Source organism: Homo sapiens, chromosome 15 (genome assembly GCF_000001405.40).
Source record: "Homo sapiens chromosome 15, GRCh38.p14 Primary Assembly".
NCBI classification, from domain to species: Eukaryota; Metazoa; Chordata; class Mammalia; order Primates; family Hominidae; genus Homo; species Homo sapiens.
Genome location: NC_000015.10, coordinates 89443739 through 89471009, shown reverse-complemented (window position 1 = coordinate 89471009; position 27271 = coordinate 89443739). Strand labels below are relative to the sequence as shown.

The 27271-nt window shown below is 49.2% G+C and overlaps 2 long non-coding RNA genes across 3 annotated transcripts, besides 3 other annotated features; one reads left to right on the top strand and one right to left on the bottom strand.

Annotated features, from left to right (window-relative positions):
- Positions 1–1278: 1278 nt before the first annotated feature.
- LOC112268153 (uncharacterized) lies at positions 1279–8181 on the bottom strand. Its single transcript, XR_002957725.2, has 2 exons — positions 6978–8181; positions 1279–1856 (listed from the first exon to the last, which is right to left on the bottom strand). It is a non-coding gene; the product is annotated as an uncharacterized LOC112268153 (long non-coding RNA).
- LOC105370964 (uncharacterized) lies at positions 1738–19011 on the top strand. Of its 2 annotated transcripts, XR_932600.4 has the most exons (3): positions 1738–1860; positions 14232–14314; positions 15164–19011. It is a non-coding gene; the product is annotated as an uncharacterized LOC105370964 (long non-coding RNA). The 2 variants fall into 2 exon arrangements; XR_001751653.2 differs by lacking the exon at positions 1738–1860 and having other exon boundaries at positions 14059–14314.
- Positions 8241–8290: a silencer, noted in NCBI's record as "silent region_6798". NCBI's record gives its function as "represses an Ori minimal core promoter by ATAC-STARR-seq in GM12878 lymphoblastoid cells {active_cell/tissue: GM12878}" and the evidence as "EXISTENCE:reporter gene assay evidence [ECO:0000049][PMID:35858748]".
- Positions 21775–22369: an enhancer, noted in NCBI's record as "H3K4me1 hESC enhancer chr15:89991872-89992466 (GRCh37/hg19 assembly coordinates)". NCBI's record gives its function as "activates a minimal SCP1, AML or CMV promoter by ChIP-STARR-seq in naive H9 embryonic stem cells {active_cell/tissue: H9 hESC(naive)}" and the evidence as "EXISTENCE:reporter gene assay evidence [ECO:0000049][PMID:30033119]".
- Positions 25371–26225: an enhancer, noted in NCBI's record as "H3K27ac-H3K4me1 hESC enhancer chr15:89988016-89988870 (GRCh37/hg19 assembly coordinates)". NCBI's record gives its function as "activates a minimal SCP1, AML or CMV promoter by ChIP-STARR-seq in naive H9 embryonic stem cells {active_cell/tissue: H9 hESC(naive)}" and the evidence as "EXISTENCE:reporter gene assay evidence [ECO:0000049][PMID:30033119]".

The window sequence follows — 27271 nt, the reverse complement described above, 5'->3', positions numbered from 1 at the left end:
GGACAGTGGGGTAAGGTTTCAGGAGGGTAGATCTCCCAGGCTCACCACCACCCTGGGCAGAGTAATACACCTTCCTGCCCTCAGGGGCTCACAGTCTAGCTGGGAGACAGACCTGACCCTCAGAATCCATGCTGAACTCTGACAGGTGTGGCTGGACAGGAAGTCTGTACCCAGTTGGCTTCTCAAAGCAGGGCCACCTGAGCAGGGTTCTGGAGGCTGAATAGGAGTTTACCAGAAGGATGGCAAAGAAACAGCATGGGCACAGACCCATGGGTAGGAATTAACACGGTGAAGTCTGCTACTGGCTAGAAGAGATGTGAGGCAGAAGTGTGCCAGTTGGAGAATAAGACTTGGAATCCGGATCTTTTGTGGAGCAAAGGCTCCTGGGAAGAAGGGGTGAGGGAAAAGGGAGGAGGTCTCTCAGCTTCCAACTCCGCCCTCCCCGCCCCCTTGCAATTCACACACACACACACACACACACACACACACACACACACACACACACACACACACCGCTGCATGCCTCTTACCAGTGCAGGGGGGAGGGGAAGGAGGGATCTGAAATGCAACCTATTCATGTACCCGCGATGTAACACCCCTCATTTTCCATGCTGGGTAAAGACAAAAACCCTTTACAACCTGTTTCTGGAACTTGTCAGCAGCTGCCAAGAGGAGCATGTTAATTAAACGTCGGCAAAGATGGAAGCCGGAGACCCTGGCTCTAATTGGACAGTTTGCTTCACCGGATTGAAAAACATTGTGACAAAGGAGAAGGTGCGCGGCGCTCGGCAGGGGTGCGGCGTGGCGGGGAGGGAGCTGTGGCTTTGATTTCAGCTGATCTGAGCCCCAGCCTCCCTCCCCCAGCAGAGCCGCTTGGCCCAGCCCCATATGCCTATGAAGGGCCTGGGAGGGGCCCGCAGCGTGAGAGGGTGCAGGGTGGCGTGGGGGGCGGGGTGCGAAGGGGTGCTGGGGGGGTGGTTCCTGAAGCCCACCTCCCACCCCTCCCACCCCAATCCCAGGCACCACCAGGCCAACAGTATTGGGCCCAACCCAGAGCCAGGCTTTTAGGGCTCTGGGGCTCACCCCTCCTCCTGATCACATGACCTGGGTCCTGGGGGCTGCACAGGGAGGGGAGGGGGCCAGCGCTGGCTTCCAACTCCCTCCTGTGCAATGTGCAGGCTACACTAAGAGCCTATGCCCACCGCGTCTGTTACCAGTTGAGGATAGTTGTCCAAGTTCTTGGCATTTTGAACAAAGAATTAGACCAAATGCACAAAGCAAGGCAGCAAAAGCAGAGATTTATTTTAAACGAAAGTACACTCCACAGGGTGGGAGCGGGCTCGAGCAAGAGGCTCAAGAGCCTGGGCTACAGGATTTTCTGGGGTTTAAATACCCTCCAGGGGTTTCCCATCTGTTCACTCTATGCACATAAAGTAGTGGCCCGCAACCAGTCTGATTGGTTGCGGGAGGGAACCAATCCGAGGTACTTTCATTTCCAACTGCCAGGCAGCAACTGCCATGCAGAAAAAGGAGGGGTTGAAAGGGAGTAGCCTCTGATATCCAGTCAGCATGCATCGAACTTAGGTTCCCTGCCTCCAGACCCTATTCTCCTGCCTCATTTCCCCCGAGAGACATGATCCCCAGAAATCTTTATGGGAGACAGAGTGACTGATGGTCTTTCTTCTGTAACTGCGTCACCCTGACTTGAGGTGCAGTCCCTACCTATTGGGGATCCCCGAACTCCTGCCTTTATCTATCGAGTGGAGACTGGGTAGTTTCTTGATGGCCAGGGGTGCTGCCTTCATTTGGAACAGGCTGGAAACCTTGTCACAGGATCATCTGAAACTTGATGGTCTCTAGGTGAGAGGAAATGAATTTGGTTAAAAGATTTAATGGGAACTTCAGGGGGTGGATACCTATGCTGTCAGGAATGTTTGTTATAGGAATGAATTACAACAGTCTGCTTAGTCACTACAAAGGAAGTGATTCCAATCGTTTGAAAGAAAGCACCTAAACTGCAAGAAATCTGAGAACATGGCTGCTATTATCCAGCCTACAGTAACTATGCAACAAAAACACCAAGGAAAGTTGGTAGGCATTTACTTGTCTTTTGACTGTCTGATGGAAACTTCAGGCTCCTGGTCCCTGGCTTCAGGTATCACAGACTTGATCCTTGAAAGATGTATCCAACTATCTAATCCTAGTACCTTGACCATAGAAGGCATAGCCAGTACCACTAAAAACGGTCCCTTCCATTGGGGTTGCAATTGTTGAGCAGGTGATCCCTCCTTCTATGTTTTAACAAGTACCTTATCCCTTAGCCTGATTTTGGGTTGCTGGTTAGTTCCCGGTATGGTGGGGCCTTTGAGTTCCAAACTTTTGTAAAGCCTGCTGAAATTGTCTTAAGTTAACTAGGTATCTTGCTAAACTGGCTGTTTCTGGATCAGTAATTAAATCACTAGTTAAGAATGGCCTTCCATATAACATTTCATAGGGGGTTATATTAATTTTTGCTCTAGGGGTATTACGGATCCTTAAGAGGGCTATAGGCAGTAAGCTGACCCAAGTTTTTGATGTTTCCTGACATAGTTTAGCTAACACTCATTTTAGAGTTTGGTTAGCCATTTCTACTTTCCTGGAGGATTGAGGCCTCCATGCTGAATGTAAATAGTATTTGATTCCAAGAGCCTTAGCAACCCCTTGAGTTATTTGGGAGATAAAAGATGAGCCATTATCACTTTGGAGGCTCTGAGGTAACCCAGACCGGGGGATTATTTCTTTTAAGGGAAACTTTATAGCCTCATTAGCCTTCTCTGTTCTGGTAGGGTAAGCTTTGACCCAACCAGTAAAGATATCTATTAGCACTCACAAAAACTTGTATCCTCTGCAAGCTGGCATATGGGTGAAGTCTAATTACCAGTCTTCCCCTGGGTAAGTTCCTCTCCTCTGGTCTGGTTCTATTAGAGGAGGCATTTTGTTTCCTGGGTTAAGTGCACACAGTGAGCAGGCTTGACAGGCCTGCTTAACCACCGAAGTTAAGTTAGGCCCAATGAAGAGCCTGTTAACCATGGCCAGGGTGGCATCTCTCCCCATATGGAAGGAGTCATCCAGGGTTTTTATAATTCTCCATTGGGCTGTTTGAGGCAGATGTATTTTTGATCTCATATACCACCAGGATCTTTTTTTTTTTTTTTTTTTTTTTGCCCCACTTGCTCCTTTATTAACTGTTCTTCCTGTAGTGTGTATTTGGGATCCACTGGGAATCATAGAAAGGAATCAGTGCTAGGATCTGTTGGGATTGCACCCTGAGGGATGTGGCTTTGGCTTCTCTATCAACCTTTCTGTTCCCTTGTGCTATAGGAGTTAAGTCCCTTTGATGCCCCCTACAATGGATTATAGCTATGGCCTGTGGCAGGTGTATTGTTTACAATAGCTGAAGAATTTCAGGCCCATGCTTTATGGGGGAGGGTTTGCTAGCTAGTAGTCCCCTTTCTTTCTAGATTGCAGCATAAGCGTGAACCACAAGGAATGCCATATTTAGAATCTGTATAGATGTTAAGCTTTTTATTTTGTCCCAAAATTAATGCTCGGGTAAGAGCAATGATTTCAGCCTTTTGTGCTGATGTGCCAAGGGGCAGTGGCTGGGCTTCGATAAGGGTGTTGTGATTGACTATTGCATACACAGCTCAGTGTTCCCCATTTGACACAGAACTGCCATCTGTGAACAAGTCCTCAGAATCTGGGAGAGGCTGATCTTTTAAATTAGGCCAGCTAACATATGCATGTGCAATGACTGGCTCGCAGGAATGATCTGTCATTGGGCCTATGGGTATCAATGAAGCTGGATTCAAAGTGTTACAGGTTTTAAGGGTTACATCTGGATTGTCTAGGAGCACGGCCTGGTATTTGGTTAACCTTTCCCCCATCACCCAGATGTGTCCTTTTATCTCTAAGACTGACTTTACCTGATGGGGGGTTAGAACTTCCAGTGATTGGCTCAGGGTGATTTTAGTGGCTTCCTCCACTAACATAGCAATGGCTGCTGTTACCCACAGGCAACTTGGCCATCCCAAGGCCACTCTCTCCAACTTCTTTGAAAAGTAGGTGTTTGGTCTGGGTTCTGATCCTAATTTCTGGACTAGCACTCCCACAGCTATGCCATTCGTCTCTGCTACATACAAGGGAAGGGCTTAGTTAGGTCTGGGATCCCAAGAGCTGGAGCCTGGGTAAGGGCCTATTTTAGCTTGGCACAGGCTTCTCTCATTTCCAGGGTCCATTCCATTAGCTCATTTTCAGGCCTCCTTGTTGCTTCATACAGGGGCTTTGCTATGAGCCCTAAATTTGGTACTCATATTCCACAAAACCTGGCCATTCCCCAAAAAGAATGAAGCTGCTGCTTGGGGTGGAGGGGCCCAAACCACATATGGCTTGCACTCGTTCTGGGGATACTTGCAGGTTCCAGGTGTTAAGATGTACCCTAAACAGTGGACCTGTTGGAGAGTAATCTGAGCCTTCTTTTTGGACACTTTGTATGACCTGTCAGCCGGGAAATGTAAGGTTTTTATAGTATTTTGGTCAGAAGCCTCTTGGGTTGGGCTATACACAAGAAGGTGATCCACATACTGGAGTATACTCCCATCCTCCAATTGCAGACCCCTCAGATCCCTCTCTAAGGGTTGGGCAAAGAAGTGGGGGCTATCCCAAAAGCCTTAGGGGAGCACTGCCCAAGTGTTTTTCTCTGGTATTAGGATTTTCCCATTCAAAGGCAAAAGGGTATTGGGACTCTGGAACCAGAGGAATGAAGAAGAAAGCATCTTTTAGGTGTAGGACTGAGAACCATTTTGCATCCCCTGGTACCTGAGCCAGTAGGGTATATAGATCCATCATCAATGGGTGGAGAGAGATAACAGCCTCATTAATTATTCTGAGAACCTATACTACCCTGTATTTCCCCAAAAGCTTTAGAACGGTTAAGATGGGGGTGTTGCAGGGAGAATTGCAAGGTTTTAAGAGCCCATGGGTAAGTAATACCTCAACTATGGGTGCTAGGCCTTTTCTTGCTTGCAGCTTAATTGCGTATTGTTTTCAATTGGGAAAATAGCTGGGGTCTTTAAGCCATATTTTGACTGGCACTGCTGTTTTGGCCTTCCCTAGTTTCCCAGCATACCATACTAGTGAGTTAACCTGTTCATTAATGTGGTCTGGGACATTGTATTTTCTACTATTAGCAATTTCACCAGGTGATGCTTAAATTGTAGTAGTGCCCCTATTTTAACCATAGTATCTCTTCCCAACGGGGGGACTGGGCATCTTGGTACTACTAGAAATTCCTGTTGGAAGATTTGTTTCTCAAATTGACAAATCAAAGGAGGAGTAAACAATCTTTTTTATGGCTTTCTTTCCATTCCCATAACACTCATGGACCGGGAAGAAAGTTTTCCTGTATAAGCAGTAAGAACAGAGTAATCTGCCCTTGTATCAAAAAGAAAATGAATTTGGGTGCCCATGACATACAGAGTTACCGGGGGCTTCTCAGTAGTAATTACGATATTCCTGGACAGGGGCAGTGAGGAAGACCTGGGGCCCCTTCAGTCTTCATCTGATTCCTCCTTGTGCACAGCTAGAGTTTTGCCTGATGAAGCTCCTTGGTGGGAGCAAAGGTAATCAATCCTCCAGTGCCAGGGGTCATAACTGGTGCCCTCACATTTTCAGCAGGGGCCTGGAGGGGGAGTAGTACAGTCCTTTGCCCATTTCCCAGTTTTCTTGCACTTGAAGCAAGAGCCCTTTCTGGCATCATCCTTATGGCCCTTTGGGTTTCCCTTGGATGCTTTTTGGGCATTCAGGGCATTGCCAATGATGGCTGCCATACTTTTGGCTTGCTATTTTTTTTTACTCTGTTCCCTTTTTCCTTCCACCAGATCACGATGGTTATACACCATAAAGGTGGTATCAAGAAGCTGATTATGATTAGTTTGGGGCCCCATCTGTAGCTTTTGGAGCTTATGTCTAATGTTTGGGGTGGATTGGTGAATGAAATGTGCCACTGATATTTTGCTTTCAGGAGAGGAAGGGTCCAGATTAGTATATTTTTTAAAGGCTTCCTTCAGTCTGCCATAAAATGTGGCTGGATTTTCCTCCTTGCTCTGTGTAACCTCACTTTATCATAATTTACTGCCTTAGTTATTCCCTTTTTCATTCCTCCAAGGAGAGCCTCAAGAAATTTAGCCCAGTTGTTCATTCCCACAGGTGTGTTATAGTCCCAATTAGGGTCAGTAGTGGGGACTGTGTCTGGGCCCAGGTGATTGCCCTGAGGGTTTTGGGCAAATAAGTTGTCTGCTTCCTGGCGGGCAGCCTCAAAGATTCGTTCCTTTTCCAAAGGGGTGCAACAAGTTGCTAGAATGAATTGAACATCTCTCCATGAGAGATCAAAGGCTAAGGTCAAAGTTTGGAACCCATCTGCGAATTTCCTGGGATTCTCGGAATAGCTTCCTTGCTTTTCCTTACATTGTTGTATATCAGTTACAGAGAAGGGGGCCTGCACTAGGACTGGCCCCTCAGCTCCTGCTACTTCCCTAAGGGATAGCAGGGCTGGCGGGAGAGTTGAATATGGTGTTCTTCTCCAAGTGTGAGGGGGACTTAGTAGGGTCCCCAGTGTTGTGGTTTTAGCCTCAGGAGCACTTGGCAAGGGGCTATATGGGGGTGGTTTCTGTCACCCTGAGAGATAGGTGGCCCTTGTAAAAAGGGGTTGTCTATATCTAGTTCTGCCTTTGGACTTTCCTTTGAGGGGATTATTGGGTTTCAGTATAGTGCCATGAAGGCCTGTACATATGGGATTTCTGACCATGTGCCCTGCCTTTTACAAAATAGGTCTAATTGCAGGATGGTGTCATAATTAAGGCCACCATTGACCACCCGCTGTTCCGGGCTGAGCAGCTCATAATGAGGTAAAACAGTATTGCAGAAAAAAAGAATCATACATTTTCTCTTTAGATTGTCAGGGTAAAGTTGATTTCAATGGTGGAGGATGTAGCCAAGCAGGGTACCAGGTGAAATAGATGGAGAGTGGCCCATAGAGGAATCAGGTGGAATCGATGGAGAGTTGCCTATAGTGGTCTGGAAAAGAGAAGAGGACTTTGGAAAGTGGAGGGCCCATTAGGTGACCCAAATTTTACACGGGTCATCCCCCTGGAAAAATTCTGGGCCCTGACTGGGGTCCTGGGGGACATCCCTCTTTAGGGCCCCATCTTAGTCTGTCGGACGTCTCTGACCTTAGATCTGACACCACTATGGAATGGTTTCCTCCACCACTGATGGCCCACTATGAACTTTCCCTCTTGTCCCTGGATGAAGGCCTTGATTTCTAGAAATTAATTTTCAGTCAAACCTTTGGATTTTTTCCTATCCCACTTAAAACAATTATTTAACTTTCTAAATTTAGGCAAGATTAAATTGTACATAAATTCCCTTTTATGAATCCCCCCGCATGACACACACAAACCATCTGCGCAAACCCTCTGACTTGTCCTTAGCCAGTTGAGTAGGGGAAGGGAAGAATTTAGCATAAGGAAACAAGGTTTAACTCGCCTGAAACATGAGTTCACCCTGGATGGGCTGCCACTGCCAACTGCATCACATGGAGGGTTCAGGGATGATAACTGGACAAGACGGAAAAGAGCCCTTCCCCCTTCCAGGCAGGCAGCTATCACCGGTCACTCCTTGGCCTTCAGGTAACACCAGAGAGTGGTCCTGGCCAGTTGCCCTCAATTACTAAGGAGCTGCTAGGAAACGGCCGCTGAAAGACTGAAAAAGAAAAGGACTTGGTCCCTCACCCAAGCCGGGCAGTTGGGGGTAGGCGCTTCCACATAGAAACCTTTTGTTTTCACCAGAGAGTAGCCCTGGCCACAAACCTGCAGTTGCCTCTGTGCATAGGCGCTATCTCCTGAGGGTCCTGAGTTGGAAAGGAAGAGAGAAAGAGGAAAAAGAGAAAAATAAATCCTAAACTTTGGGCTTACCTCCTGGCTGGTTCCCCAACATATGTTACCAGTTAAGCGTAGTTGCCCAGGTTCTTGGCTTTTTGAACAAAGAATTGGACAAAACAAGGCAGCAAAAGCAGAGATTTAACTTAAACGAAAGTACACTCCACAGGGTGGGAGATGCCTGGAGCAAGTGGTTCAAGAGCATGGGTTACACGAGTTTCTGGGGTTTAAATACCCTCTAGAGGTTTCCCATTGGTTCACTCTACGCAAATGAAGTAGTGGCCTACAACCAGTCTGATTGGTTGCTGGAGGGGAAGAGTAGGCCCACGACCAGTCTGATTGGCTGTGGGAGGGGACCAATCAGAGGTACTTTCATTTTTCAATTGCCACACAGACAAAGGAGGGGTTGAAAAGTCAGTAGCCTCTGATAGCCAGTCAGCATGCATCGGCCTTAGGTTCCCTGCTTTCGGACCCTATTCTCCTGCCTCACCTCCCTGGGAGAGATCTGGGTTGAGGCCCCTCTTTCCAAAACCAGCACTGGGTCACATGATCAGGTAGATCTGACAAACGTGGGCAACTGAGAAGCTCCTCCTGGTAAAGTGAAGGTCCTTAGAGAGCCCTGCAGAGCCTGAGTTTCTCTCCACAGGGATACAGGGGGTGCACACACAGACTGCCCCATCGGTGTGTTTGATGGTTGTAGTTCAAGTCCCCTCTTTGTTCTTGACTTGTGAACATTGACACAGCCTGGCAGGGAGCACTGACTGCGCTGGGCACCATGCTGAGGGTCTTATGTGCCTCAGCTCATTTAGCCTCCCAGCAACCCTGAGAGAGAGAGAGGCTGCAGCATTCCCATCTTACACGTGGGAAAACTGAGGCCCAGATGGGATAAGTCACTCAGTCAAGGTCACAGATCCTTCTGATTCCAGTGTCTGAACCTGGACTCCGTGTTTCCTGCTCTCTGGCTCCAGGCTCCAGGCATTTAGGATGACCTGACAAAAGGATGGGGTTCCTAAGTAGACAATACCCCTCCCAGGGCCTCCAGCCTGAGGTGCACAACAGATGGGGTTACAGCAGGCTGGGGGGTCACTCTGGAAGGCCCTACACATGTTCCCTATCCTCATACACATGCCCAACTTGCATCTTCTAGGGTGGAACAGTTAACAAGGGCAGAGACCCCACTTCTGTCCCCTCCTGCCTTGGCCCCTGCTTTGTCCCCCACCCCACTCCTATCCTGAGCTGCTGCCCAGTGGGAGCTCTGTTTAGGGTGGGAGGCCAGGCTGGGGCCTATGAGAGCCCCAGCAAGTACAGGAAAAGGAGGCATTGTGGCTCAGCCCCAGGGATTAAGAGATACAAATTGGATGTGGAGGGCTGAGGCCATTGACTGAAGTCCCTGTGAGCTGAGTTCCCAAGGGGGGAGCAGCCCAAGTCCTGTCCCTGGGCAGCCTGTGCCTGAACAGTGTCCAGGCAGCCTGCTGGGCCTAATCCCGTGGGAGCTGTGGCCCAAGGAGCCCCAGAAATACCGCTGCTGGGGAGAGAGGCTGCCCTTGATGGGGTCAGGCAGCCTCACCCTGGATGCTCGGGGCGGCCACCCTGAGAAGGGATGGGAGATGAGAAGGTGCACTCACAGGGGTGTGTGTGCACATATGTCCCTGGCCTGGGCGTTGTATCTGTGTGGGACCCTCTAAAGATGGGCAACCCCATGTATTAGGGGCAGTGTCAGGCCCTTTGTGTGTCTGAGGTTTGGGGCACAGGGAACGGGGCCTGAGGTGCCTGACTGAGGGAGTGAGGCATGAGAATGAAAATGGCAGAGCCCCCGCCCAGCAGGCCCAAGTGGGTGCTAAGTGTGTGTGTGTGTGTGTGTGTGTGTGTGTGTGTGTGTGTGTGTGTACTCGCACATCGTCTAGCGGGGCGCTTGAGAACAGCCCTTCAGAGGTGGTTGGAGGGGCTCTGCAAATTGTAATCAGATTAAGGGACCAATCACTTAGGGCTCTTGAAAAGGCCACAAGGTTTCTAATCAGCCCTGAGCGCCCGGCCCACAAAGCCCCGAGGAACTCGGCGGGAGTCATCCGCTGGGGGGCCAAGGGGGTGGGGGGCGTTTTTCTTCCCTCGCTGTCTCTTGTAATTATGTCAATTTGCTAGCCAAATTGTTTGCTCGAGTGGACAGGGGGGCTTGTGCCCCATTCATGTGGTAATGTGGGAACTGGCCGGCCTCCTGGCTGGGAAAATAGAAGGTACCAGGGATCCTTCTGCAGGGAGCAGGCGGGCCCAGGGGGTGTGGGGCGCCCAGGCCTCAGGAACTCATTCCTCACCGGCGTGGGGCTTTTTTCCCACCAATTCCAGCACCGTCCAGCTTGTGTTGTTCTCTGGGATGTCCCTTTGGGCTGGCTGAGATGAAGGATGGGGTAGGGAGGCAAGGACCCCCAGAGGGAGGGCTGGACAAAAGAGGTGACCTCCAGGCTCCCTCAAGGTGAAGGTGGGCAGCTCTCTGTCCCCTGTGTCTGTTCCCTTATGGGACAGGCTGAGGCTGGAAGTTTGGGAGCAGCAGAGGACTCAGAGGTGCCAGAAAGACGGGGTCCTGAAAGGGTGAGTCTCACTACACACAGATTCAGGGACAAGCAGAGATTTGGAAAGAAGTTCTTACTTTGTTTCTTGAGCCTTTAGGCAGAGGCACCAATCACTGTGCCACCCTTTGTTTACACAGTAGATCACCAAAACTGACAGCAACACAGAAAAGTAGGTACTGGGTATCCCATTTCACAGACAAGACTACTGAGGCTCAGAGAAGCTGAGTGACTTGCCCAACGCCACAGAGCTAGGAGATGAGGAGCAGAGTTTTGAACCCAGCTCTATCTGATCCCTCTGTCTCTTCTGCCCTGCCCCCACCACATGATGCCCCCGTTCATTCCTTCCTTCAACCAGCAAACAGGAACTGGCTGTCCCCCCACCCCAGTTCTGTATGATGCATTAAGGATGCAGAAGACTAAGATAACCAAGGGAGGGCACTGTCAGGGGACGGTTAGCACTAGCTCATTGGGGTGTGTGCTGTGGTCACTGTCAGCATGGGGCTGTGGCACACAGCAGTGTCAAGCCTTGGACACATTGCTCAGGAACAAAGGTCATTAGGAACAATGGTTATCAGTCCAGACACAGAACCTGCAGTGCATGCATTTCCCTGCCTCCTGGGCTACTCAGAAAGGGTCTTCTCTCCTCCCCAGGTCCCCCTTCAGCATGTAAAGACTCCTCCTCTCTTCCCTGGGGGTGGCAACCCCAACAACTCTGTTTCTCAGATTTGAAGGCCTTGTCCACCCTGGCCACTTCCCTCTGGACCCACCTGGGTTGTCAGTTTCCCTGTGAATGTGAAGAGCCCCCTGTCCACAGGTGTTCACAAGGCCACTGTTCTCACCACCCACCCTACCCTCACCACCAGTGCCCCTCACTGTTCCATTTCAGGGCCATTGGGATCTGCCCTGCTGCCAGCTGGCAGGAGGCTGGGGTGCAGGGTGGTATTGGGAGTCAGGGTGTGGAGAGAGATCTCAGAGATCAGAACCCCTTATCCCCCAGCTGGGAGAAAAGGCCAGAGTTCATGTTTACTTCCATATGGGATGATGGCCAGAAATTCATTCTTCTTAGAGCAAATACAACTGGTTAGGCAGTTACCATATGACTTCCACTGGGCAAAGTACTAGGAGGCAGGAGTGCAGGGAGGCGCAGGCACTCTGACCCTAAAGTTCCCCAGTCCTGTGAGGAGAGGCAAGACTGAAACCAATGACATAGTACCCAGTCCAGGACAGGAGAAGACTAAAGACCAATAACAGCAAACACAAGGCACTTCTATGTGCCAGGCACAGCTCTAGGCACTTTACATATATTATTAATTCATTTAATCTTCACAATAATCCTATGAGGTCAGTGCAGTTATTATCTCCATTTTACCTCATGAAGAAACTGAAGTACAGAGAAGTTGAGTAACTTACCCACAGCCACACAGCTAACTTGCAGAACAGGCCCCTGACCTCACTTCCCTCCCTCCTGGCAAAACCTACAGAGAGCAGTTAGATTTGAAGGGGCAAACAGGAGAATATCCAGTCCAGCTTTCTAGAGACTATGATGTCTAAGCTGAGTCCTGAAAGACTGGTAGGAGTTACTCAGGCAAAGGATTGGGGATGGAGGGTCCAGTGCCTGGGAGGCAACAGAACATCCAGGTCAGGAGTGGTGAGGCATGAGGCCGGAGGGGAAGGCAGGGACCTAAACAAGGGCAAATGTGGATCCTATACTAAAGCTAATGGGAATGAGTCATTGAAGAGTTTTAAGCAGTAGGGGTGACAGGATCGGGAACAGCATTCTCCACTCCCCCCTCGCTGTTGGGGATACCAACCTCAAGGCTTCATTTAATTCTAGGAATTAGTCACACTCGGTTTTGCCTCAGGACCTTTGCACAGGCTGTGCCTGATGCCTAGAATGTTTTACATACCCTATCCCATTCCATTTTTTTCCATTGCTACATGTGCCTTTTTTGTACCCTGTACTTTTTCTCCATAGCAGTAATCAAGTTTGTGTTGCTACACTTCTTTTTGTTTGTGTGTGTGTGTGTGTGTGTGTGTGTGTGTGTGTGTGTTTTATTTTTTTTGAGACAAAATCTCACTGTGCCACCCAGGTTGGAGTGCAGTGGTGTGATCTCAGCTCACTGCAACCTCTGCCTCCTGGATTCAAGAGATTCTCCTTGCCTTAGCCTCCTGAGTAGCTGGGATTACAGGCACCCGTGATGGTGTACTTCTCTGTGCCATTAGCTAACGGCCAGTCTCCCCAGTTCCACAAGGGCAGAGACCCCATCTGCCAAGGGATGAGCTGGGCACATTGCAGGATTGATCATTATTTGTTGCATGAATGAGTGAAAGAATGAATGCATGCATTCACTTTGGCTACACTGGGAGAATGAGGTAGAGGTTAGCAAGCAAAGATGCCATCTATGAACACTTATGAGGCTTTTCTGGGACTGACCCAGGTCAGCGACGTGCAGGCTGTGAATGTGGGTGGCAGGCGTGTGAATTAAGACAATGGACATACTGAGGGGCTTGGGCATTAATTCTGATGCAGGACTTACAGGACCTAAACCTACAACCTGCTGCATTCTTCCCTTATTTGAGCATGGGCTATAAGAGTAGAAGACCCAGATCCTACCTACAGAATTTTTTCCTCAGCCTAGAAACCCCCTGCCACCTTACACACCAAAAAAAAGTTGGAAAGTTGTTCTTCGAGTTGGGGAAGGGGATAACCAGAGTGAGGGGTCTGGGCACAGCACAACCAATCAGGATGGCAGGCAGTAAGAGTGGACAAGGCTTTCACCCCTGGAACTTGCTTTGGGTGCAGAACACCTAGCAGGACCCCCATGCTGACCCTCCTTTCCTTGCTTGCTGATACACTTGGACATGGCTTTTGGCCCCTGTCCACTCTTTTCTTGTTTCCTGAAGGCACCAACAGATGCAAAGCCACCATATTAAAAGCTTTTATGCCTGAAACTCTCCTCAACAAGGAAACAGAGCTAAGGACACAGGGCTGGACCACATAGGACCACTGGTAGAGATTGCTAATTGTCCCACTCTCTCTATTCTACCCTTCATAACTATTTGTAGAATAAAGGGGCATGTCACCTCTCAGTATAAAACTACATTTCCCAAACTCCTTTGCAGCTAGCATGTGGTCACATGATCAAACTGTGGCCAATGAGTGGAAGTGGAGTACACAACTTCCTAAGTCAGGCTCCAGGAAGGAAGCCCTTTTCTCTTCCTGCCCCTTGACATGAAGATGAAATTGAAGTTGCATGTTAACAAAGGCAGAGCAACAAGACAGAAAGAGTCTGGGTCCCTGATAATTATGGGGCCACCATTCCAGCACTAGGCCATCCACCCAGATTTTTATGTAAGAGAAGTAAACTTGTGTTTAAGCCCTATTCTTGTGGGTCTTTTCATGCAGCAACCAGACTGATATCCTGACAAATATACAACCCATTGTAGGAGGGATAGGAAGGGCTCAGAGAAGGGGATGTGGGTTGGAAACACACCTTAAAGTTGTGAGGATTTGTGAATCTCAGTTTGTAAATTAAGGTAATAACACCCAATCATTAGATCACCCCTTTCTTCCCTCCCCAGCCTGGGAGAATTTTTCTCTATTCCAAGGGTGTTGGAGAAAGAAGAATCCCCTCCTTCCTTTGCTGCTCCAAGATATTGTGTCTTTGCTCACAAATCTGAATTTTTCTAGGAGCTTAGGCATTGAGAAGCAGAAGCCAGGAAGGTGGTAACATACCTGTGTTTCCTGGACAGCCCCATCCCAACAGGATGGCAGTGAGTACAGAGTGGACTACCCAAATGGGAGCAAAAGAAAGAAAAATACAGGCGTAGGGGAAGGACATAACTGATAGCTATTTACTTGGGCTCAATGGCACATGTGTGACTGGGGAAGGGCCCAGAGTCTCAGCTACAGGGACACCAAAGTGAGGAAAGACATGCAGTTGTTCCAAGCCCAGAGATAGCTGGCTTCACTAAACAAAACAACATCCAAGAGGGTTTATTCATTAGCATTTTTTTTTTTTTTGAGATGGAGTCTCACTCTGTCATCCAGGCTGGAGTGCAGTGGCATGATCTAGGCTCACTGCAACCTCCACCTCCTGGGTTCAAGCGATTCTCCTGCCTCAGCCTCCCTAGTAGCTGGGACTACAGGTGTGTACCACCACGCCCAGCTAATTTTTGTATTTTTAGTAGAGACGGAGTTCACTGTGTTGGCCAGGCTGGTCTCAAACTACTGGCCTCAAATGATCCCCCCGCCTCGGCCTCCCAAAGTGCTGGGATTACAGGCATGAGCCACTGCACCTGGCCTCATTAGCATCTTGATATAAGGAAAAGAGGAGATGTGTTGCAGTTAGATAGACTTAGAATGAAATCCATCTTTGCTAATAATTACATGTGTGATCTTTGGCAGATCACCTCACTTCTTTGAGCCTTGGTTTCCTTATCTGTAAAATGTGGAAGACAACATCTATCTCAGAGTGAGTTGTAAGCATTAAAGGGGATAATTAGCACATAGCAGATGGGCAACAAATGCTAACTATGAATATGTAGGTATAAAAAAATAGATGACCCCCACTTTCTGGTATTCTTGCCCTTGTGTAACCTTTTCTCCTTTTTGTTTGGCAGGACCTGGAACTTGCTCCTAATCAATAGAATACAGCAAAGGCATGGGATGCAGGTGATTCTGTGTACATGGTTACGTAACTAAATAGATAAGATTGTAGCACCTGTCTTGCTGGAGTGTTTCACACTCTTGCTGGCTTTGATGAAGCAGGTGGCCATTTGAGGCCCAACTGAGAGTGGCCTGTAAAACTGAGGGCAGCTGACAGCCAGCAAGAAAATGAGCCTTCAGTCCTGTAAATGCAAGGAACTGAATTGTGCCAAGAGCTGCATGAGCTTGGAAGCAGATCCTTCCTCAGTCAAGCTTCCAGATGAGGACCCAGTCCTGACCCATACTTTGATTGCAGGCTTGCAGAGGGCCCAGCTCAGCCATTCCAAGATTCTTGACCCACAGAAGCTGAGAGAATACATATATGCATCGCCTGCCTCTGAATTTGTGATAATATTGTTCTGCAGATATCTATATCTAGCTATCATAAATGATGTATGTAAACAACCACATATCACACATTTGTTTGGCCAAGCATGGTATCCCATCCCTCTGACCACGGTGATTGGCACAGATAAGGGCACTTGACAAAGCTAGGCCAATCAGCCTTCTTCCCTGGGATTTTGTAAACAAAGGCAGAGAAAAAGGAGCCTTGTCTTTCCTCTCCGCTTGCTCAGATGGTATGAAGTAAGTTTATGGTTGTGAAATTCATGTTCTTCTCCTACAGCATGGAGGAAACGCTACACAGCAGGAAAGAATAAAACTGGCTCACAAAGAGGAGCCCTGAGACACACTGAAAAAGGCTGGTTGCCATAATCTGAGTAGCAGGGACTGCCACACCTGAGGCCAGCCCAGCCCTAGATATCCCAGGTACACGAGCCATTAAATTCCTCTTTTTGCTTGTCCTGGCTCCCATTGTGTTCCCCGAGCTCCTGGAGGTCAGAGCATCTGCCAACTTCCACATAACGTCCCCAGATGGCCCAGCTCAGAAAGTTTTTCCAGAATAAGTATAGTAAATGGTGAATGGATGTGAGAACCTTACTATATGTCAAGGTCCCCAAAGAGCATTCACTTATATGACCTTATTTGATCTTTACAAACAATCCTGCATAATCATTACTGCATGAGTTAGATGGTTTTGACCATTATTATTGGGAAAACCCCAATAAAATGGCTTAAATCATAAGAGGATTTACGAATTCATATGAGAATCTCCCCAGGGACATTCCAGGCTCATAAGTCCATTCAGTTTTGCTTTCCTGTGAGTCTTACGGCTCCACACCTCTTGCCATTGGCTTCAACCTGAGGTCAATATAAAGGTGGCAAGCAGCTCTGGGCATCACATGCAGACCTAGCAGTGCTCAGGGGAAGAGGAATAACCATCTCTTCCTTTCATGTACTTTCTTCTTTTCAGACATATTTTTAAGTGAAATTATATATCTATATGTGTGTATGTATATATATATGTGTATATATATATATATGTTGGTTTCATTTTAGTTCTAGAGTCTTTTTTTTTTTTTTGAAAAATGATGTTATTTTGCAGCTTACCCCCCTTGTGTTTCTATCAGTTTTACAACATTCTCTAATTCAGTGGCTCTCAAGTGTGGTCTGGACCATCAGCATCACCATCATCTGGGAACTTACTTGCTACAAACACTTGAATGAATGCCTCCCAACCTGTTGACTCAGAAGCACTGAGAATGGGCCTGACCATCTGCATTTTAGCGGGCCTCTGGGTGATCCTGATGTATGCTCAAGTTTGAGATCTACTGCTCTAATTAACTTATTTATTTATATTTTTTGAGACAGAGCGAGAGCTCTGTTGCCTAGGCTGGAGTGCAGTGGTGTGATCATAGCTCACTACAACTTCAAATGCCTGGGCACAAAAGATCCTCCCACCTCAGCCCAAGTAGCTGGACTACAGGTGCACACCACCACACTCAGCTTATTTTTTTTTAAATAGAGACAGGGTCTCACTATACTGCCCAGGCTGGTCTCAAACTCCTGGCCTCAAGAGATCCTCCTGCCTCAGCCTCCCAAAGTGTTGGGATTACAGGACAGGTGTGTACCACCACGCCAGCCCCCACTCTAATTTATTTATCTATTTCCCTGTTGACATTCAAGTTGTTTCCAATTTTTTGTTACCGGTGCTACCATACAACCCTTTTTAAGTGCTTTTGCATCCTGTAAGAACATCTCTTCTCTCAAATTTTTCCCGGTTAATTTTTCATGTTGACTTTTCCAGATGAACTCTTCCAGATGAGTGAGTCTGCTTGTAAATTCCAGTCTCAGTGGGATTACATTGAATATATGCTTTAATTTGGGAAGGATTGACATCTTGACAATATTGAGTTTTTCCATCAAATATTGAAATCCTACAGGATTTTTAAAGTATAAGTCACACAATTATATGTAATTTAGGTATGCTTTATTATTATCCCAAATGTAACAATTGTAGAAGATACTATAATGGTCTTCTCCTTTCACTGAATTTTATGAAATTAGAAACATAATAATGAAGGGTCAAGTGTATGATCTTCTTGTTTTTCTTGAGATTGTCTCATTTCTTATGTTGGACTCTCAATTGTTATTCAGCTATGCTTATGTCTCTTTTTGAGAGCAAAGAAACCTTTCCCAGAAATCCCCCTAATAGACTTCCCATGTTCTCTTGGCTATGACAGTTTTAACAACGTCGCCCTTAAATTATACCCCTCCCTTTGAGACGTGAGGTCTATACCCTCCCTTGAATCTGAGCTAGGTGGGTCAAGTTCCTGCTTGACCAATAAACTAGGACAAAAGTGACACTGCCAGTTTCTTAGGGCTCAGACCATAAAAAACCATCAGCTTCTACTTCTTGTCTCTTGGGACACTCACTTTTGGAACCCAGCCAAGCAGGGGTCCCCTGGCCCTCAGCCTAGGCTGGGTGACCAGTCTACAGCTGGCACAACTTGCCAGCCATGTGAGTGAGCCCTCTTGGAAATGGGCCCTTCAGTCCCAGTCATCTTGGCCCACCTGACACCACATGGCAGAGACAAGTCGTCCTCACTGATTCCTGCCCCAATTACAGTTGTGTTGAGCAAAAGAAATGCTGTTATTTTAAGTTTTGAAGTAGTTTGTTAGGCTGCAGTAGCTGACTGTGCCAATGGCACAGCACACTTCGATGCCTCAACCACTCACTGGTGTGAGGACTGGGACCTCTGTGAATGACTTAAACCACCCAGAACCCTCCCCCAGAGGGTGGGGCTAGTGCTATTAATAGAACTGGGTTAGTTACCCTGTGGCTGGGCACAGTGGCTCACGCCAGTAATTTCAGCACTTTGGGAGGCCGAGGCTGGCAGATCACTTGAAGACAGGAGTTTGAGACCAGCCTGGTGGCCAACATGGCGAAACCCTGTCTTTACTAAAAATACAAAAATTAGCCGGGTGATATGGCACATGCCTGTAGTCCTAGCTACTCGAGAGGCTGAGGCAGGAGAATTGCTTGAACTCGGGAGGTGGAGGTTGCAGTGAGCTGAGATTGTGCCACTGCACTCCAGCCTGGGCGACAGAGTGAGACTCCATCTCCCCCAAAAAAAGAAAAATTATCCTTGGGACTTTAAGTTGCTCAGCAAGTCAGTATACATAGTATCATAGTATTGTGTATACAACTCTTTACAGTAATATGCATGTATAAATGTATCATGGATATATAATGTGTAGTATGCAAGAAAGAGTGCATATTCAACTATACTTGCACAGTATTTTTTATTAAAAACATCTTGAGCGTGAATCATTACATGACTGTCAATTAAATGCATACAAGATAAACACCACTGTAAATGCTAGAAGAAGGACTCAATCATTGAATAAACAAAGGAATGAGCCTGGCCTATCTGTTCATCTTTCCCCTCAGACATCTCCCCTGTTGGCCAAGTTTTGTTTATCCTTCTCTTGTGCCTGAAATGCCCCCACCTGAGTTGCTGAGAACAAGACAGTGAAGGGTCCCAAAGGCCATAGTTATGAGCAGCACATCAGTGCCTGATACACCAGGGATACACCAGCGGCTGTACCTGCAGCATAAATTGTGTGTGTGTGTGTGTGTGTGTGTGTGTGTGTACTTACACACATGGGTACTTGTGAAAAGCTGTGTCATGAAGGACCTGGCATTTCTCATGTTCCTAAGAGATGCCACCATGGCGTGATGCCAACCAGTAGCCCCAATCTCATCCCACCAAGGGAAGGGAAGGATAGGGGAACCCCCAGTATTTTAAATCCCATCCCTTAGACTGTACTTGAGGGTATTGTAGGGGAGGAGAATTTTATTTTTCACTTGATCCCCTCCTGTTCTGTTACCCTAAAAACCAATAACATTTTTTTTAATTTTAAGAATTTGAAAAATTGTGTCTCACCTGTTCCCAAATAAATGTAAACTCCTTTGATGGGCAGGTGGCGTCTCCCATCTGCAGCGCCTCCCTGGATCCCAGCATAAGCCCCGCTTCTGCCTTTCAAAGTGTGGTCTAGAACAGGTGAATCCTGGAAGTCTGCATCGTGGACCCAGCACAAGGGTCGATCTGGCTTCACCTGGGCTTCAGATGCAGGTGGGCCTGGCCCGGGCAACACAGCAAAGAGCAAATCGTCTGGGAGGGCGCTGATTCTCACCCCTCAGGGCCTGAGAACCATAGAGACATGCCCCCCACCCCCTCCCGCATCCCACCCCTCAAGGGCACTGCCCACACCTGAAGCTGTGCGCTCCCTGCCTTCTCTCCTCCCTTGGCCTCTCACCTTCTCTCCTCTTGGTCTCTTTCCTTCTCTCTGTCACTCTGTCTCTGGCTCTCTCTGCCTGTCAGTCTTGTTCTCTGTCTCTCTGTGTCTCTCTCTATCTCTCTAGGCAGCCCCATTTCCTGTCTCTCTCTCTCTCTCTGATCCTCCCTCTCTTTCTGTATATTGATCTGATCCTCCGTCTTTCTTTCTCTCCTCCTCTCTCTTCCTCTGCTCCCTTGCCTCCCTTCCCTTCTCTCCCTCTACGTCTGCCTCCTTATCTCTCTCTTCTTGTTCTCTCTCTCTCTTTCTCTCTCTCTCTCTCTCTCTCTCTCTCTGTCTCTGTGGCTGTCTCTATCTGTCTTTTTCTGTCTCTCCCACTCTGGTCTCCTCTCGTTCCCTCTCTCCCTCTCTGGAGGACGCTGCAGGATCATGCCAAGCCCAGAGGGAAGGTCAGGGCACCCTGCAGGGACCAGCACACCCTGCCACTAACATGTCACTTCTGCCTCCAGCCTGGGAAATAGCAGGGCTCAGGAAAGGCGAGGAATTGCAGTCGCTGGAGATGGGGCATCTCAATCGGGACTGACAACAGAAAGCAGAAGCCACAGAGTCAGAGGGCTGCAAGCCTGCTCCAGGGCACTACGGCCAACTGGCATGAGTTTCTGGGCACCAGCTCTGCACTGCAGCCCTCTTCTGGCTTCAGGGCAAGGGGGACAGAGGGAGAATCTGGATTTGTGTGGCCGCACCGGAGCTTCCCTTGTGAGGCAAAACACAAAAGTCTCAAACTCTACTCTCTGCAAGCTATGAATCAGTGTTTTTTAATTGGCAAATCTCCCATTTTTTTAAAAGTCTAAGTTTTCCCCTGAGGGTCTGGCACCACTGGGCTTACCCTGGCAGATCATTGCAAATTCCCTTGTCTCCCTGGCCCCTCCTCGGAGAACCTGGATGACCCCCTGTGGTAACCTGCCTGTCCTCTGTGAGCTCCCAACTGTGTGGTGTCTGGCAAAGCAGAGAGAGTCTTTGAGCAGAAGTAAAGACCCCAAGTGCTACCACCAACTTCTCATGTGACATTGGGCAAGACGCCCCTGCTCTCTGGGCCTCCGCTTTCTAATCTGTAAAATGGGAGTTTGGGTGAGCCCAGCAGCAGTAGGACTTACTTTTTTTTTTTTTTTTTTTTTTTTTTGAGACAGGGTCTCACTCTGTCGCCAAGGCTGGAGTGCAGCGGCAGTGGCATGATCACAGCTCACTGTAATCTCAAACTCATGGGCTCAAGGGATCGTCTCACCTCAGCCTCAGTAGCTGGGACTATAGATGTGCACCTCTACACCTGATTAATTTTTTTAAACTTTTGAAGAGATGAGGTCTCACTATGTTGCCCAAACTAATCTTGAACTCCTGGGCTCAAGCGATCCTCCCACCTCAGCCTCCCAAAGCCCCAGGGTTACAGGTGTGAGCCACTGTGCCTGGTAGGACTTACTTTTGAGCACCTGATGAAAGATATGGAGCTTCTTCCTAGAGAAAAAGACCTGTGCATAGAAGTGCCTGTGATTTCGGCGGTTAACCTGTCTCTCTCCTGGGGGCGCTGGGTCCCGGACTAAGAACCCCTGCTCCGCTACAAGGTCCCTTCACCCACCATCTCAGCCAACTGAGTCTGGATTCAGGTGGACCCACCGACTGAGGTCTGACTGCTGGGAGCCACCCCTTCCCCGGTGAGCCAGGGCTCTGCCTGTTTCAGCGGCGGTCCCTGCCGCCCATCGATATGCAGGAGGGGTCTGGGCTGGCGCTAGATTAGCATAGACCACTCCAGGAGGTAAAGGCCCACCGGGTGGCCTCTGTGTGCAGCGCCCGCCTTTGTCCTGGCCCAGGGACCAAGCAGGAGAGCCCAGGCGGCTCCTACACTTTTGACTGCCAGATGAAAAGGGGCGACATAAAGAGGCTGCCCGGGCCAAGCGTGGGGGCGCTTTGTGTCCCTCCAGACGGAGTTACAGACGTCTGTGAAACATCAATTACAGCTGAATAAAGACGTCTGCTCAGCCCAGACGCACCTCCTTTCAGCTGGGAGGTGTTTCCAGGCCAGGCCGGGGATGCCTTTGGCAACCTAATTTGTGACTCTGTAAGCAGCCCTGGCATTCATCACACCCAGGGAGGATGGGAACAGTCTAGGCTGGGCTGGCCCAGTGCGCAGTACAGCTCCAGGAGGTGTCCTGGAATGCGGGTGGGGGTGGGGAGAGAAAGCAGCCACTGACCTCCCTTTCCCTCTCCTCCAGGCCAGGATGGTGGGGAGGGTGCAAGCTCAGAGACACATGAATCCCCTGTATTAACCAGGCTCCCCACCCAGGCTTTCATCCATGATAAATTCGCTCCTTGCTCCAACAGCTCCTGGCTGTAACGAATTAGGGTTCACTGGTCCCTATCCCTGATGGGCTGGTGTGATGTGTTGTAAGGGGACAGGCAAAAAGAAAACCTCAGACTCAAGTCCCACGGCTACCAGAAAAGCTGAGCCCATTCCTTGACATCACTGAGTCACAGGGCCAACCCTGGCCCACCACCCTCTTGCCATGTGAGATGAATAAGGCTGCGTTTGCATTAAGTCCCTGTCCATCAATTACTTGCAGCCGGAAACAATTCTACCTGACCACACTCCTGGTTTTGCGCTTTCAGAGTGACAGAAGGGCTTGTGCCATTTAGAGCCACCTTGGGAGGAGATGACAGGGCCATGATGGGCATGAGGACCCAGGATAGGGCACTGGTTCTGGGCATGGTGAACTGGGCTGCCCCTTTCTAAATGGTGGTGGTCTCTGGGATGCCCTTGCCTCAGGAGACCTCATCCCTGGGCAGTCTTGGGCAGCAAAGGTATTTCCTGAGGACCCCGTGCACCCAGGGGCACTTGTCCTGAAACGTGCCCAGCAGGACCAGGCCAATGACCCTTTGACCACCATGTGTCAGACCCTGAACAAAAGCCAGTGAGCCACCTCTTATGGGGCTATAGAGGAGAAATGGCCCTAATAACAACCCTCTTGCTTCCTAAGCACCCATTTCTCACCCTATCTTGGATGAGGTGTGTTTAGAAGGCCCCAGAAAGCTGAAAGGAAGCCCCACGATCCACAGGACTTAGAGGCAGCCAGAGGTGTGAAGAGGATCACAGCCTCCGAGCCAGCCTGCGTAGATATAATCCTGGCTCCACTGCTCACCGGCTGGGGGACTTCAGCAAGTCAGTTGACTTCCCCGTGCCTCGGTTTCTAGACTTGCCAATGTAAGGATGCAGGCCCTGGCACACCGGGAGCAGGCGGTGGGGCTGGGGTTCCAACCTGGGGTGGCCTGCCTCCTGAGCTCACATTTGACCTACTCCCCAAAGTCCTGGGGAATGTGGAGCCTCAGTGCCCACTTTGGACCAGGACTGTGTTAGGCAATGGCCCAGAGGGAGGGGGAGCTCCCTCCTTTCCTCCAGCTCCTCCTCTCCTGGGTGTCAATCACGCCCATCAGTCCCCTGTTCCTGCTTGTGGCTGAGGCATCTGTAATGTGAGGAAGGGCCCAGGCCTGCGTGTGCCTGTGTGCTTACAAGTGCATGTTGTGTATGAGCCTGTGTGCATGTGATTGTACGTGTGTATGTGTCACAGATACATATGGTTGAGGCAGAGACCACGAACCTGCCTGATACTCTGGAGGTGCAAGACAAAGAGGGGCCACAGCCATGTCTGGATGATTGGGTGAGACCTGATGTGAGGCCAGCTAAGTAAGGCCAAGGAAACTGGGGTGGATGCCCCTGAGGAAGGAAAGTGAAGAGCAGGCTTAGCGTTGCCTTCAGCCCTGGACACTCACACGGCCAGGCCACAAGTGGTATTGTCTCAGGGCATGCACCTCCTATGACAGTGTGTACCCACTGGGGTGGGCATGTACAGCTAAGAGAATGGGAACCATCTGCTGGGGGTGGGTGACATTTCTAGGAGCTTGTAAGTAAGCCTATACCAGATCTATGAGGACATATAAGATCATTCATATTAATCCTTTTGAATAGCTAATACTTTCTTTTTTTTTTTTTTTTTTGAGACAGAGTTTCACTCTTGTCACCTAGGCTAGAGTGCAATGGCACAATCTCAGCTCACTGCAAACTCCACCTCCCAGGTTCAAGCGATTCCTGCCTCAGCCTCCCGAGTAGCTGGAATTACAGGCAGCCAACACCACGCCTGGCTAGTTTTTTGTATTTTAGTAGACACAGGTTTCACCACGTTGGCCAGGCTGGTCTTGAACCCCTGACCTCAGGTAATCCAACCACCTCAGTCTCCCAAATTGCTGGGATTACAGGCATGAGACACTGCCCCCGGCCTTGGATAGCTAATACTTTCATCTAGTACAAAAAAAGTTTTGCGGTGAGAAGTCTCCTTCATGGCCTTGTCACCCATCTGCTCAGTTCTCACCACTCCCTAAAAGATAATCACTGTTATTAGTTTCTTATGTGTCCTTCCAGAGCTTCTTTGTACGTAAACATGTACAAAGAAGAATGCATGACAATGCAAACGTGACTCTTATTTTCACACAAAAGGTGGCATAGTGCACTATGTCATGCTGTTTTTCTCTATGGTAGAGTGTCATGGGGATCTTTGCAACCTTTCTCTATCAGAGCAAGGAGATCATTCTCATTCTCTTACTCAGCTACATGGTTTCGCCTGAACCCATCCTATCTTGAGGCTCATCTGGGTGGTTTCCGACCTTTTTCACAAATGATGCTGCAACGAATAGTCTTGCACATAAGTGAGTTCTCACAGTATGAGTGTACCTGTAGGATAAAGCCCCAAAATGGGGCTTGCTGGGCCAACGCTTATATGCATTCGTAATGGTGCCAGTCTTGCCAAATTGCCCTATAGGCAGCAGGTGCTGCCCCCAACCCACAGCCTATCATTAGGATCTTAACCAGGGGGGGTCACTGATTATTTTGGTCTGGGTTTCTTTTGGAATCAGCTCTCTGTCGGAGATCGAGAAGGGATTTCCTTCTGCAGCATGCTGGCCTTCCCCCTTCCTCCAGCCCTGGTCCAGGCGTACACTAAGCCATGCACACATCTTGGCTTAGCCAGCAGCGAAAAGGCCTTTCCAACTTTCCTAGCCCAGCACATCTGTGCAGGGGTCTGCACAACCACACACAGAAGCCCTGTTCATGCTTGTGACTGTCTCCCTTTCTCTCCTGCCCCTTCTCAGAAACAGTCAATAAGGATGGAGCTCCTTTGCCCCCAAACCCCTGCCACCACCACACAAATACACAAAAATCCCTTCTGAAAAAACTAACAGTAGAGCCCTAAAGGAAGAAGTACATCTTTCCATGTTTACTATTCAACAGATCCATGAGAGCCTACTGTGAAGCTGGCACCTGCTAAGAGCTGCAAATGTGACCTTTGATGTTGGCCAAGTCTCTTGATATTCAGGCCCAAGTGCCCTCTTGAGTAAGAAGGCGTATGGACTCTGAGGATTCCAAGTTTCCTTCTAGCTCCAATGACCTACCACCCCCAAATTGTGCTGTCATTGCATGTATATATCAATGGAAGAAGGCTTGGAAACACTTCCACAGGCTGACAAATCATGGCACTTGTTTGCAAGAATGGCTTCAAAGAGATCAACCCGGAGAGCCCTTTGCAAGCTGGTGAAGAGTTTTGCACATGCGTGCGTGTGTGGTGTGTGTATGCATGTTCAGTGAGGTCTCCCATGACCCCCTGCCAACTACATGAAGGCTAGGTTTTGGATCAGCCAGTCCTTGTTGGAAATCCTGATATGACCACTTGTGAATTGTGTGAAATTGTGCCTCTACTTGCCCCTTTATGGAAATGGGCATCTTCACATTTCTCTCAGGTGGCTATTGTGAAAATTGAATGAGATCTTTTAAAGTGTGGGCACCTAGCAAGTGCTCAGCAAACATGATCTGATTTCCTGGGAGTGTCCGAAAGCCAGCTTGTGGGCTGCCACGCAAGGGCAAGCCAGGGTCAGGCTTGGAGGCGGACCGGCTCGGTGCCCCCCAGCCAGGCTGCTGGTGAGTCTGGCGCCACCGTGAGCAGGGGCCCTGCGCTCTCCCTCCTAGGCGTCTGGACAGGCCGGGGAGGCAGACGAGGCAGGCGAGTGACAGCTGGGAAGGTTTAATTGCTCCTCAGTGGCTTGGGAGCACCTCCCTCCCTTGCCAACGATCTGCATTTCAATGTGAGAAGAGTGGGAAGTGGGATGCTGCTCAAAGGGGTTACAATGATTAATCATTTAAAAAGCAAGATCTTAATTACAGGCCGCAATTTTTGCTATTTAAGGAGTCCATTAGTTGCCAGAAAGAAGAAGAAAAAATTATCACAGGTTATTCTCCTCAGAAAGTAGGGTGGAGGGGGGAGGGACAGCAGGGGAGGGAATCAGCTGCTGCTTCAGATGGAGTGGGGGGCAGGGGTCCTACCCCAGGAAGGGGCCTGGGCAGGAGCAGGATGGGCCCTGCCTTGGTGTGTGGGCAAGGGAAAAAGCTGTTCAGAGGCCCCTGTCTCTCCCCAGCTTGGGCCTGCCTGGAATCCCACCTGTGGGTGTCCCGGGAGGCCTCCTCCTGGGCGTGGCAGCTGGTGGTCGGCCCCTCCCCACCCCCACTGACCCCTGACTCCACCCTGCTCAGGATGCAGGGTTAATTGCCAGGCCCTCCCCTCTGACCCCTCTGTGGATTTTAGTCTTGTCTGGTCTCTCAGCCCCTAGGGTATACAAAGGGGACTGGTGGGGCAACAGTGTTAGGAGTCAAATAAAAACAACCAAGCTTTAGTGGATTAATTGACTGATCCTCAGGGGGCTAACAGGTCAGAAGATCAAGGGCTAGCTTCCCTACCCTGGCCACCTAGAGGTCAGGGCACACTTCTGCCTCAGAGGAGGGCACTGCTGCCCACCCAGGAGATCCAGATCTGAGCTCCAAGCCTCCTCCTGAGCCCTGGCTGGCGGCACGCTGGATCCTAGAAAACAGCCCCAACGAAAAAGGGGGCCCCACCAGTGGCAGGCTGGTGCCGTGCGGTCAGAGACCATTCCTGGGGCTCATCCTGCAAGGAATGCCAGAAACCCCAATCCAGATTGCAGTGTGCCTGATGCTACAAGTGCCGACGAAATCAATAACTTGGATGAGTGAAAAAATGAAAAGTGTGAGCTGGAACCAGGCTTCAGGCTATCCTTATTCCTATGATACCATATGTTCAAAACATGCTTGCAAGCAAGTTGCAAAGTTTACCAGCCTACCTAGAGGAAGGGTTTATTCCCCGCCAAGCCTCCTCGATATTGGGAGTAAAATAAATGAAATCTCCTCTATAAACAGTCCCTCCTGCCAGGCGGATTAAATGGCTCTGTGTGTGTGAGTCTCTATGAGCCTCATCTGTTCTAACATTTAGGCCCCCAGAGGG